We start from the raw sequence: 12,762 nt of genomic DNA on the forward strand, positions 1-12,762 counted from the left end.
GTAGAGCAGGTTAGATCCACTTGCCAGATAGGCTCGGAAATGCCCAGAGGGGAGTTTTGTCTAGGGTCACATGCAATGAGCTGTAGGCAGAGTGGACAAGTCCCTGGGATTCCATGCCCCACTCATTCAGCAGATGTTTACTGGAGTCAGGCTCTGGGCATACAGAGCCGGGAAGACAAAGCCCCTGGCCTTATTAGTCACGGACAGACGGGATGAAAACACACATCTGTCTGTGTGATGCAGGGCCCAGCCAGAAATCCGGGCATGCAGGGAGTGAAGAGATGGAATGTGTCTCAGGGGCTTCTCCTAGGGGTTAGCTTCCGGCTGTCACGCAGGATGCACACAGAACGCAAAGCCAGGCAACCATAGGGCGGCTGGGAGGCCAGGTGCAGTGGCTCATGCCTGTAATCCCAGCACTTTGGGAGGCCGAGGTGGGCGGATCACCTGAGTTCAGGAGTTCGAGACCAGCCTGGCCAACATGGTGAAACCCCATCTCTACTAATAATACAAAAATTAGCCAGGTGTGGTGCCATATGCACCTATAATCCTGGCTACTCAGGAGGCTAAGGCAGGAGAATCACCTGAACCTGGGAGGTGGAGGTTACAGAGAGCTGTGCCACTGCACTCAAGCCTGGGCAATAGAGCAAGAGTCGAGTCTCAAGGAAAAGGGCAGCAGGGAACAAGGTCAGCGGGAAAGTGAGTGGGCATCATGGGCGCGGGTGACAATTTCAGCGAGGCTCAGGGTTGGCCTTGCTGAGGTGAGGTCTGGGCAAAGACTTGCAGGAAGGCAGGGAGCAGGCGGGGATCTCTGATCCCTGCAGAGGGATCAGCCTCTGTGAAGGCAGGGGTGCTGGCCTGTTGGAGGGGACCACAGCCCGGAGGAGGGACAGCCTCTGGGCCATTGTAAGGAAGTGAGCAGCATTCCCTGTCAGTGGCCAGAAGCCTGTGACGGGAGGTGCTCTTTTTTTTTTGTGAAACGGAGTCTTGCTCTGTTGCCCAGGCTGGAATGCAGTGGCACAATCTCAGCTCACTGTAACCGCTGCCTCCCAGGTTCAAGTGATTCTTATGCCTCAGCCTCCCAAGCAGCTGGGACTACAGGCGGGAGCCACCACACCCGGCTAACTATTTTTCCCCCTGAGATGGAGTCTTGCTCTGTCGCCCAGGCTTGAGTGCAGTGGCGCAATCTTGGTTCACTGCAACCTCCGCCTTCCGGGTTCAAGCAATTCTCCTGCCTCAGCCTCCTGAGTAGCGGGATTACAGACACCCACCACCATGCCCAGCTAATTTTTGTATTTTTTAGTAGAGACGGGGTTTCACCGTATTGGCCAAGCTGGTCTCAAGTTCCTGACCTTGTGATCCGCCCGCCTCAGCTTCCCAAAGTGCTGGGATTACAGGCATGAACCACTGCACCAGACCAGGACTTGCATTGTCTTTTCTTTTCTTTTCTTTTTCTTTTTTGAGACGGAGTCTTGCTCTGTCGCCCAGGCTGGAGTACAGTGGCTCGATCTTGGCTCACTGCAAGCTCCGCCTCCCGGGTTCCAGCAATTCTCCTGCCTCAGCCTCCCGAGTTGCTGGGACTACAGGCACGTGCCACCACACCCGGCTAATTTTTGTATTTTTTAGTAGAGACGGGGTTTCTCCATGTTGGCCAGGCTGGTCTCGAACTCCTGACCTCGTGTTCCGCCCGCCTCAGCCTCCCAAAGTGCTGGGATTACAGGTGTGAGCCACCACACCCAGCAGGACTTGTGTTTTCAAAGGCTGCGGGTGGACATGGACGGGTGAAGGCCAGGGCCTTTCAGGCTTACTGAGGACTTCCCCTTTTCCGTTCTGTAGTGCACAGCCTCACAGAGCCTTGGGCCCAGCTGAGCCCAAGGGGTTCAGGTAGCCCCCACGTGAGGCAGAAAGGGGGTTTCTCAGAAGCCCTGGGATGCCCCAGCAGCGTGCTGCTTACAGAGCCCCAGGGTCCAAGGCTCAGCTCTCCCCCTTAGAAGGGTAGGGCAGGAGCACTAGCCCCGGTTAGATGACAGCTGGGACCAGGAGCTGCTGGTGGAGACACGAGATGGTCTCCTGCTGTGAGGGGCTTCCCCGGACTCCACCAGGCCCTTCCTTTCCCAGAGCCTCCACGTGGGTCAGGGAGTCAAGGACGGCAGCCACCTCCTCAGTGTGGACACAGGCCCCGCCCCCACGCCCTGCAGCCAGGTGAACTGACAGACACCAGGGGTAGATCTGGGGCTGCTGATAAAAAGGAATGAGCCCCCACGGCCTGTGGCAGAATCAGGGACCACCCCAGGCAGAGCCTCCAGCCTTCTAAGGGGGAGAGTTGAGCCCTGGGCCCTGGGGCTCTCTAAGCTGAGAGTTGCTAGGGGCTTCCCAACAAACTCCCTTTCTGTCCCAGGTGGGGGCTGCCTGAACCCCTGGGCCGTGGGAGCAGCCAGACTCCGTGAAGCTTTGCACAAAGGAAGGGAAAAGGGGAAGTCTGCAGTGGACTTGAAAGGCCCTGAGTGATTAGGACCTGGACCAGGAGTGGGAGAGAGACCCAGAGAGGAGGTACAGCCTGCTCAAGGCCACACAGCAAGCCAGTGATGACCACAGCTGGTGAATCAGCCTCTCTAAAACACCATTTCTGTACCTGTCAGCTCCACCAGGCAGGGACGCTTGTCTGGTTCACCAGCATATCACTGGCATTTAGAATATTGCCTGGCACATAGAAGATGCTCAATAAACATTAGTTGAATGAGTCCATCTGTAAAATGGGCTGATTACATAGCTACTGCTCGGGGTGGTTGTGTGACTCAGATGACACTGGGTGGTGCCAGACCCCTAGAAGATACTCAGCACCAGGTTCTTTTTTTCTTTCCTTTCTTTTCTTTCCTTCCTTTCTTTCATTCGTTCCTTTTTTTTTTTTTTTTTTTTTTGGACAGAGTCTTGCTCTGTTGCCCAGGCTGGAATGCAATAGCATGATCTGGGCTCACTGCAACCTCCGCCTCCCTGGTTCAAGCGATTCTCCTGCCTCAGCCTCCCTAGTAGCTGGGATTACAAGCATGTGCCACCTGTACAGGCATAGCCCAGCCACACACCCAGCTAATTTTTGTATTTTTGGTAGAGACGGGGTTTCACCATGTTGGTCAGGCTGGTCTTGAACTCTTGACCTCAGGTGATCCACCTGCCTCAGCCTCCCAAAGTGCTGGGATTACAGGCGTGAGCCACCATACCCAGCCCCAGGTACTTTCCAATCCCATTCCAGTCTAGTCTGGTCAGGGGTAGGGGAGGCTTTGGGGGAAGGAGGCACCTGCTGAAGTTGATAACATCTCTGGGCTAACTGGTTTTCCAGCTTGCTGTGACTGGCAGCACCCACGAGCCCAGGGGAAGAGACTGGAGCCTCCTCACTCCCCAGCCTGGAAGCTCAAGCCTCAGGGTCCCAGCTGATCCCCAGCTCCCCGACCCACACAGCCCTGTCCAGCTGCTCAGGCCCTGGGACAGCCAGAAGCAGGTGTGAGGGGGGCAGAGTGAGCTCCTGGGCCCCAGGACCCTCCTGGGAGGGTGGCCACTGGCCTTGGGGCCACCTGCTCTTCGCCCCTCCTCACTCTGCCCTGAATGGGGGTCTGGACCCCTTGTTCCCCTCCATCAGCCACTGGAGCTCCTGCTGGGAGGGCCAACCCTCCCAACTCAATCTCCCTGAGACCCAGAGCCTGGGACTTGCCCAGCCCAGCTCCTGCCAGCCCCGTACCTCCCAACTGAGAGGTCCTTTTTCTTTTTCTTTTTTTTCCCCACCTGGAGATGGAGTTTCACTCTTGTTGCCCAGGTTGTAGTGCAATGGCGCGATCTTGGCTCACTGCAACCTCCGTCTGCCGGGTTCAAGCGATTCTCCTGCCTCAGCCTCCTGAGTGGCTGGGATTACAGGCACGCGCCACCACACCCGGCTAATTTTGTATGAGAGATCCCTTTTCTACAAGGGCTCAGAGGGAGGGTCCCACGTGGCAGCAGCCCCGAGGTCACTGTGACAAGTCCTCTGCTTCTGGGAAGACTTGGCCCCATGAACGGGATAGACAGGGAGGTGTGGGGGATGTGCAGGACATTCCTGCAATCTCAAGCACTTTCTATTATAACACCCCAAGGTGTAGCCCTGGAATTAGCTGAGCCTCCCCGAGGCTGTCCAGCCTTCCAGCTCCTCTGCAGCGTGTCACTTCCATGTCTCATGGCCACCCACAGCCCCTCCCTGGGCAGGATCGAGTTTCCCACCAGCAGGTCCGGGAGCCCTTCCTCCCTCAGCACTCACCCACGCGCCAGCGAGAGAGCTGAGCCTTGTGAATAATTCACAGCAATTCACAGCAGGCCCCAGAGGCTCGCAAGATCATGAAGCTGGGCCACCTGGGTGCCCTGATTGGGCCCTGTGGCCTGGGGCAGCTCAAGCCTCTGCCCTACCCAGCTCCCAGCCTTCATATCCACAGCCTCGGTGAGCAGGAATCCCTACCCGCAAGATAGGAGGTTAAGTGGGTACCCCAGCCCCCAACCCCAATTCCCAGCTGCTCTTCCTGCATAAGCCCAGCCTGGCAACCACAGAAAGACACCTTCTTATCAGTCGAGTCACATGCTGCTGTGGGGAACGGAGCCCAAGCCCTCTGTCCACCTCCCTGAGATTCATGGTGACTCCTGGGGGGCTGGCAGCTCATCAGTCCAGGCCATCTGGCCACTGGGTCGGCACCAGCGCCCAATCACACACAGCACCTGGCATGGCCTGGGAGGGGGTCAGGGTTCCCCAGCCCCGGAGCCCTGGAGGGCGTTCCACAGCACAGCCAGTCTTCCTAACACCTGGGATCCAGCCCACGGAGGGATCGTGGCTTCTCAGTGAGGAAGGCTTAGGGGCCGGCGGTCCCCACCAGCACTTGCATAAGGCGGGCTCAGCGTCTTCCAGTTCACACTTGGGCCATATTGGTCCCGCCATCAGGGGCACCTGCCCCTCTCAAGACCTGTCCTTCTCCTCTGCTTGAAGTGAGGGGGTGGGACAGGTGCATCAGAATCACCGCCATGAGGGTGGGGACATGTCCCAGGTGTGGCTCCCAGGCCCCAACCTGGAGAGTCTAACTCAGGAATCTGGGACAGCCTCCAAGAGGTGTTGACAGGAGCCAGTTGGAACCCTCTACTCAAGGGTCCCTGGGTCCCTCCTAGTCTAAATCCCACTGACTTTGACATGATCCAAACCCTAGTTTGTTTGGAAGTAGTGAATTCATACCAAAGCAGCCACCAAGAAGGCCTGGCAGGGCTGGTTGTGAAGCACCCCTTCCTCCGGGTGCTGCCTGTTGGGTCTCCCACTAACCAAACCAGGGAGCCCCTTCTTAGCAAGGATGGAACCAGGCCCAGCTCCCTTGTCCTGGGCTGAGGGGACCACTGGAGCCCGGCCTGGTGGGTCCTAGGGCCACCCTACATCCACGCCAGTGTGCCTGGGCCCAAGAGGCTGCAGCTGTGGCTACCTTGCCACATGGCCATATGGCCAGAACTGGCCTCCAGCTTGCTCCCTGGTGGCCAGGGGCCCTGCAGGCACACCCAGAAACTGACCAGTGGTGGGGACAGGCCAGACCCTCTCACCTCGTAGCTGCTCTCGTCCTGAGGCTGGGTCCACATTCACATTTCCATCTCAGGCTCCCACTTAGACTAACGAGGGTCACCCATCAGAGTAACCCACTCCCCGCTCAGACCCCTGTGGCATCTGGCACCCTACCCTCTCAGACAGGGCCTGGGCAGCTTTTCCCAGGATCCCTGCCTCCCCAGGCGCACCTAAGACCTGAGTCTCTTCCTCCCTCCCCAAGACTCACACATGCCACCTGCTCTGTTCGACCCCCCACCCCACCCGGGGGAGCTCCCAGACCACTCCCCAGGAGGTTTGGGATCCCCATGCTTCCCTTGATAGTGGGAATGGGCTGAGGGGCCACAGGAGATAACAAGTTGCTTTCTGGATGGCCTCCAGCCAGGGGCTCTGGGGTCAGGAGGTGGGGTGGGGGTTGGGGAGGGGCCTTTCTCCCTTAACTGCTTGGTAACTAATGGGGTTCCCTTTCTGCCTGTTTGACTAGGGCCTAGGAGGCGCTCCTGCCCTTGCTGCCCCCAACTCCATTCTGAACAGTCTTGCAAATGAGCACAGCCTGAGCCAGAGAGAGCCCCTGCGGCAGAAGCAGCCCAAGGGGAACAGGTGACCTTGGCCTGTGTGCCCAGCCTCCCAGGTCCAGCTGCGTGCGGCCGGGCAGCTGAGGATGTTGGGAGCACCTGCTTGCAGGGCTCTGGGGGCAGCCCCAGAAGGGGTTTTCCAGGAGGGGAAGATTTCATGTTGAGTGGGAGCCATTTCTCTGGCCTGGCCCTCTGGCCCCAGGATGGCTACTGGAGGGATCATTGCCCTGGAGTGCCAGAGAAGTGTGGAAAATCCCAGGCATCCCCCAAAGCCCTGGCCCGGCCCACCCAGAGGACCCCTTAAGAGGAGTGATCTTACTCAGGGTAGTGCCTGACGAGAAGCCTCAGGGAGGGGAAGTCTCCTTTGGCTGCAGCGTAGTGGATAGGCAGGGCGCCCATGTCTGTGGCCGCGGTGGGATCCCCACCGCCATGATGCAAGAGCCAGTTCACCACCTTGGGGTGGCCAAAGCGGGCAGTCAGATGCAAGACTGTGGGACCAGAATTGTCTTTGTCCTGTGGGAGGAGAGCGGGTTCAAGTCCTAAAGCCTGTTGCTGCCCCGCCCCTGGCTTGGGCCGCTCCCAGACTCCCACAGGCCTGGAAGGTAGCTCTGTGCTCTCTGTCTTCCCTGGAAGAATTGGCCAGGCCTCACTCAGCAGTGGTTTTTTTGGGTCAAGCGGATCCTGGGTTTGAATCCTGCTTCTGTCCTTGGGCAACTAATTGGCCCTCTCTGAACCGTACGTAGCCAATAGGCAGCACCGTGCAGGGTTTTCAGAGGCTGCAGGTCCTGACTGCGAGCTGCCTACACGACAGGCACCTGGTTGTCATGGCAGGAGACTGGCTCCAGGCCCAGGGCCACAGCCCTGACTCCCAGGGGCTCAGGGAATGCCTGAAGGAGTGACACAGGGTTACTGGGCTGAGCAGGGCCAGGAAGGGTGGCTGTGGGGCTGTACCAAGCTAGCATCAGGATTGGGGGGCAGCCCCTGCATCCAACACTTGCCCCCTCTCTCTCCACCCTTCCTAGGTGTCACGTGGGAACAGAGACCTCCACCTTGGTGCGCCTCCAGCAACCCAACCTCAGTGCCTTAGTCAGGCAATAAGGGCCCTGGGGACTGGTTTGGGTAGGAAGGACACACCAAATGAGCAGGAGGAATTTCCCCATAGAGGCGAAGAGAATCCAGAGATGGTGAGGGAGAAAAGCACATAAGAAATTAAAAACAAATGCAAACAAACAAGGTTGAAACAGGGCTGGAGGGTGTGAATGTGGTGATTCTTCTCTTCCTGAGGAGACAGGGTCCTGCGAGTTTTGTCACAAGTCAGGAAGCTCCATCAGCTCTGCAACACCTGAGTCCTGGATGGCGGGAGATGATGGCTTAAGATATCTGGGCGCAAAGCCTGAGGCCCTGCCTGTAACTCCGACTCCCTCAAGGGCAGCTGAGAGGGAGGACTCAGGGCACTGGGGAAAGTCAGCAGACCCAGTCACAGAATTAGAATAAGGTGGAGCTACGCAGGGAAGACAACACCAACTATTTCCTTTTTCTTATTTTATTTTATTTTATTTATTTATTTTTTTTGAGATGGAGTCTCGCTCTGTCGCCCAGGCTGGAGTGAAGTGGTGCGATCTCGGCTCACTGCAAGCTCCACCTCCTGGGTTCACGCCTTTCTCCTGCCTCAGCCTCCCGAGTGGCTGGGACTACAGGCACCTGCCACCGCGCCTGGATAATTTTTTTATTTTTGTATTTTTAGTAGAGACGGGGTTTCACCATGTTAGCCAGGATGGTCTCGATCTCCTGACCTCATGATCTGCCCACCTCAGCCTCCCAAAGTGCTGAGATCACAGGCGTGAGCCACCGTGCCCTGCCAACACCAACTATTTCATTGGCAGTAGAAGAATCACACTCTGCAGCTACTGAGAGGTGGAGGTGAAGCCACCCTGCCGAGCAGCCAACCTCACTTTTTGGTTATTATCCTTGTGCCGATGCTGCCGGACAAACTCTCTCTACAAATCTCAGCATGTGGAAGAAACAGAGGCAGGAACAATTGCCCAGCACCTTTCTATTTCTCGAGGACACTCTTGAAGTTATTCATCAATGTTTTAATTAAAGCAGATCTTATCGCTTTTCCTCAAATGGGAACTTGTTCACTTTTAGACTTTGTTATTGTTCATTTTGGGCTTATCTTTGGTCTTTTCCTGTGCTCTTAAAAGGGTGCAAATCAAAATCTGAGTTATGATAATCCACTTATCATATGACTAATTACTTCAGTACAAGGAGTTCCTGCCTGTCTGTCCAATATGAATCTTACTACGTCCCAATGTCACATTGGCTTCTTTTCCTTCTCGGTGGCAGCATTTGGAGCTTTTACTTAACTTAGGGTCAATTTCGACCTCTGAATTTTCCACCCCTCCCCCACAGCTGTTGCTGGGTCATGCTGTTTTCTTTTATCTCTATAAATATTGTGACTTGTAATTGTCACTTATAAATTCATTCTGGCTATACTGAATCATTCCCCCATTATCCAAGTCATCCAAATATTCGATGTGCATTTCCACAAATCATGTAGTGGCCCCCTGATTGGGGATGATTTGTAGAATTAATTATATGCTTTAGATCTCCATTCAGGTCTTCAGGTCACCAATACATTAAGCAGAGCAGGGCCCTGAACAGCTTATATGGATCAACGATTGACAGAGCTGTCGGGGTTGCTGCAAAGCCACTGACTTTTTGCTGTTCCCCGTAACAAAGTATGTTCAAATCTAGGTCACAGGTTTGTGGTAGGGTCGATTCACAGTATACATGTGCAACGGCGTTCAGTAGCATAGCAGTTGAGGTTGTGAAGACATGTGCACCCAGGTCAAAGAAGAAAGATCCTTAGACAAAGCCGCTCAATTCCCAGGCACCCAATCTTCCTTGGGCTTTGTGAACCTGAGATTTGACAGGCTCTTGGGAATGTCTGTCTCTAAGACTCTGTTGGCAGGCTTAATCAGGCTGGTGGCCATCTCCATATGTGCCCCCCCAGCATTTGTGACAAAATAAGGGAAGGGGGACCCAATAAAGCTACTTCTGAAAGCTTATGATCCCACCCCTCATTTAAACTATGTGATGTTGTCATTCTATATAAACTCTTTCCAAGTAACTTAACTAAAACACACTTTGCCATTAGTCTTGAGTGTGGGCACAGCATTATTCTTTTCTAGGCCTTAAGGGTTCCTTCTGCTTAAAAATAATGTCTAACTTTCATGAAGTTTACCCATGATTAAAGTGCCTTCTGAATATATATTATCTTGTTCTATTGGTTTCAATATACCTATTTTCTTTAAAAAGAAAAAAATGATGAACCATGAGTGTTAACACCAGAAAAACCTTAAGGTACATCTGATCTAATTTCCCACTTTAAAGTGAGAAAATCAAACAGTGCCTAGGGGTTTGATTTTTCCCCAGGCTAATTCGGGTTTTCATATTTCCATCTCAAAGTGGACTTTCTTTGGCTAACTTTAAGTTTTAAACGTAAAGGCCTGAAAAGTAACTCAGGATCTAGCTTTTTCATTAGTTTTGATCGTGTATGAAAGCAAATATTTCTTTCCCCCAAATGAAACCCCAGGGCTTCCAGTATTTGTAGTGATAGTGTGAATCCATTAGGTCTATTTTTAATTATATCTCTCTTATTGGTTATTTTTTTCACATTTCCTAACTCATTTGTGATATTGCTTCCATATAATTCAACTTTTTGTGCGCTGGGTTCCCATTTGCCCCACAAAGGCCTATGTGCAAATCTGATATCCTGTTTGAATGACATTGTTTTGTTTTTACCTTATTGCTTCCTATCTTTCACAACAATGTTGTCAGTTCTCAACATTAAGGCATTAAAAATTAGCTTTTCTCAAATGCTCAGCATCATTAATCATTAGGGAAATGCAAATTAAAACCATAATGAATATCATCTCACACCTGTTAGAGTGGCATTTGTCAAAAAGGTGAATGATGTGTTAGACATAATGCAGAGAAAAGGGAACACACACATTGTGAATAGGTATGTAAATTAGTACAGCTGGTGTGGAAAACAGTATGGAGTTTCCTCAAAAAACTAAAAATAGAATCTACCCTATGATCCAGGAACCCTATTTCTGGGTACATATCCAAGAGAAGCTTCAGAGAGTGCTTTGTTGGGTTTTCTGGAACCCGGCAGGGCTCAGGTGTGTGGGGATGCGCTCTGTGAGCCTGTGTTTCCTCCGCCGTGAGGGCTCCTCCCGCTCCTGTAGGAAAAGGCAGTGCCCATTTTGTCTTGTCCATGTGGGACTCCAAAGGGTCCAGACGCGACAGAAAGGCGGCGAATCCTCTCAGAGTGGGCAGGGGAGGAGATGATAGAATATGGGGAGGAGATAGAATATGGGAATGGGGCAGTAGAGGGGTGGGATTTCATGAAATTTCCTGATTCAAGGCTATCATGAAGTAGGCCTCTTTGGGAGCTCGGCCCTCCAGTCGCTGGTGAGGGTAACATCCCACCAGTCTCTGGTGAGGTCCAGTCGCCTCCGCCGACTGCATTGAAAGCCAAAAGCAGAACTAGGCCAGCACCGCGGCCTGGCGTCCAGTGACCCAGCGGTCTGCATATTCCCCAGGGTGGAAGCACTCGGACTTCAGGTTTGAAGGCAATGCGGTCACCACTGCAATAAGAAAAGCAACTAGGGAAAATGGCACCTTCTTCTCCAAACTTTTGAGACACTCTTGCTCTGTCGTCCAGGCTGGAGTGCAGTGGCACGATCTCGGCTCACTGCGACCTCTGCCTCCCGGGTTCAAGCGATTCTCCTGCCTCGGCCTCCCAAGAAGCTAATTTTTGGCATAGAGAGAGAGAGGGGGGAAGGGGGGGGGAGAGAGATTGATTTTAATGTCTTCAAGCAAAAAGAGACTCTTTCTGCCTGTTGGCCATCTGCTGCCAGGTGAACGTGAAAATCCATCGAGACGCTTTCTGTGAAAACCGCCTTTATCTCTTTGTCCCTCTTAGGTTAAAATCCGCACTCCAAAACCTTATTGAACAGAAAAATTACAAAAAGCACATATAAGACGTTTCAGTTTTGTAAAGGGTAAAATGAAACTGCCCTTCAGGAAGAATCAGAAGACCGACGAGGGAGAGAGGAGCGATCGTGAAATCTAAGTGGGCTGCCCCCGGGTCTTCCAGGGTTTTGTACTCGGTGGCTTGGCCTGAGTTGATGTGCCCATATTTTCAAACAGCCAAGTGCCCTGAGACACAGCCTTTGCTACGGTACCTGCTGAAATCTGGAAGTGTGATTAACTATTACTTAAATTGAGTGGGGCAGACTAAGAGACAGCAGCAGTGAAGGATGCCCTTTGGGAGAAAGACGTCGAGGCGCTGAGGCCAAAGGGTCCGTGAGGAAAGAGCCCGCAGCTCGCGCCCCTCGGCCTGCGGAAGGGAGGGCAAGGAGGGTCCTACGGTTCCTGGGAGGACGCGAAGAGCCAAGAGCTCTGACAGCTGGCGCCGGGGAAAAGGCCCCGAGGCGGGGTCCGCATCCCTGGAAGGGCGGCGTCCACACTCCTGCGAGGCACGGGGCGCCCGGGGCTCGGAAGCTCAAAGCCCGCCGGCTTCTGCAGCTTCTGGAGCTTCTGGGAGCCAAGAGTGTCAGCCGGAAGGATCCCGCACACGGCGCTTAGTTCTGGAACTGGATACCCGGGGGAGGATGCGGGATCCCGAAGCCCGGGTGTGGGTCCCCGTGGTCTTCGTGTTGGGGGTAGGTGCGGAACGCTAAGCCTGGGCCTACTGGGAGCCATAGTCTTCTTGATGGCTGGTGCTTATTGGGCTTTTTTCAGTCGAATTTCAAAATGCAGTTGAATTTCTTACTTTGGAAACGATAATAGAAATGGCTGACCTCAGATTTTCATGATTATGTTTTGCCTTTTCCAGTGTATGTGCAGTTTCTGTAGTATAGTGGTTATCATGTTTGCCTCACATGTGAAAGACCCTTGGCTCGAGACTGGAGGGAAACATGGTTTTTTGGTTTTTCTTTTTGTCCCTAAATTTAGTGAGTTTAATCGAGGTTGGGAAACAAACAGAAAAGTAGTTGAACCTGTGGCTACACTTTAGACCTCCTCAATCTAGACAGATTGTTGACCAGGCTACAGTTTCCACTGGTCTGCCAGCAAGAGGCCTGCTTAATGTTAGCTTTGGTTCCAGAAATTCCTTAAGATTCTCTTCATTCTCTTCTGTCGCCTGAATTTTCATAGGCTGACACTGAAAGTGGATGACATCTTAATGCATTTCCTAAGTGTCCCGCTGGGCTTCGCTTTACTCTGATAAGTTGCAGATCTGGCTGATTTGCGAGACAAAAACAAAATATTTTTTTAAAAGATTCTAAATCTGCATCTGGAACTTGTAGAGTCAATAATCTGAAACCACACGAATTATCTACATACAAAAGATTTTGAATGCATACCCCTTCCCCAAATAATCCTCAGAAAACCGGTTAAGTTTTAGCATCTATGACTCTGAGATGCATATGAGGCCTTTGTAAATTTAGAAGTTGAGAGTAGAAAGTACAGGTTTGTATTTTAGAAGGAGATTTGGGAATAAATATAGCTCTGGTGGATATAGATCATATG

General features: G+C 52.9%; 2 pseudogenes across 1 annotated transcript in view, besides 3 other annotated features; one reads left to right on the forward strand and one right to left on the reverse strand.

The window, feature by feature from the left end:
• Window positions 1–6,669, reverse strand: part of ESPNP (espin pseudogene) — a 28,940-nt pseudogene extending 22,271 nt beyond the window's left edge. Inside the window, exon 1 of the transcript NR_026567.1 lies at window positions 6,476–6,669. The product of NR_026567.1 is annotated as an espin pseudogene (transcript). The remainder of the gene's footprint in view (window positions 1–6,475) is intronic.
• Window positions 3,762–4,315: an enhancer, noted in NCBI's record as "H3K4me1 hESC enhancer chr1:17043745-17044298 (GRCh37/hg19 assembly coordinates)". NCBI's record gives its function as "activates a minimal SCP1, AML or CMV promoter by ChIP-STARR-seq in naive H9 embryonic stem cells {active_cell/tissue: H9 hESC(naive)}" and the evidence as "EXISTENCE:reporter gene assay evidence [ECO:0000049][PMID:30033119]".
• Window positions 4,870–5,423: an enhancer, noted in NCBI's record as "H3K4me1 hESC enhancer chr1:17044853-17045406 (GRCh37/hg19 assembly coordinates)". NCBI's record gives its function as "activates a minimal SCP1, AML or CMV promoter by ChIP-STARR-seq in naive H9 embryonic stem cells {active_cell/tissue: H9 hESC(naive)}" and the evidence as "EXISTENCE:reporter gene assay evidence [ECO:0000049][PMID:30033119]".
• Window positions 5,424–5,976: an enhancer, noted in NCBI's record as "H3K4me1 hESC enhancer chr1:17045407-17045959 (GRCh37/hg19 assembly coordinates)". NCBI's record gives its function as "activates a minimal SCP1, AML or CMV promoter by ChIP-STARR-seq in naive H9 embryonic stem cells {active_cell/tissue: H9 hESC(naive)}" and the evidence as "EXISTENCE:reporter gene assay evidence [ECO:0000049][PMID:30033119]".
• Window positions 12,078–12,150, forward strand: TRV-CAC13-1 (tRNA-Val (CAC) 13-1; annotated as a pseudogene).

The sequence above is a fragment of the Homo sapiens genome, chromosome 1, assembly GCF_000001405.40.
Source record: "Homo sapiens chromosome 1, GRCh38.p14 Primary Assembly".
NCBI classification, from domain to species: Eukaryota; Metazoa; Chordata; class Mammalia; order Primates; family Hominidae; genus Homo; species Homo sapiens.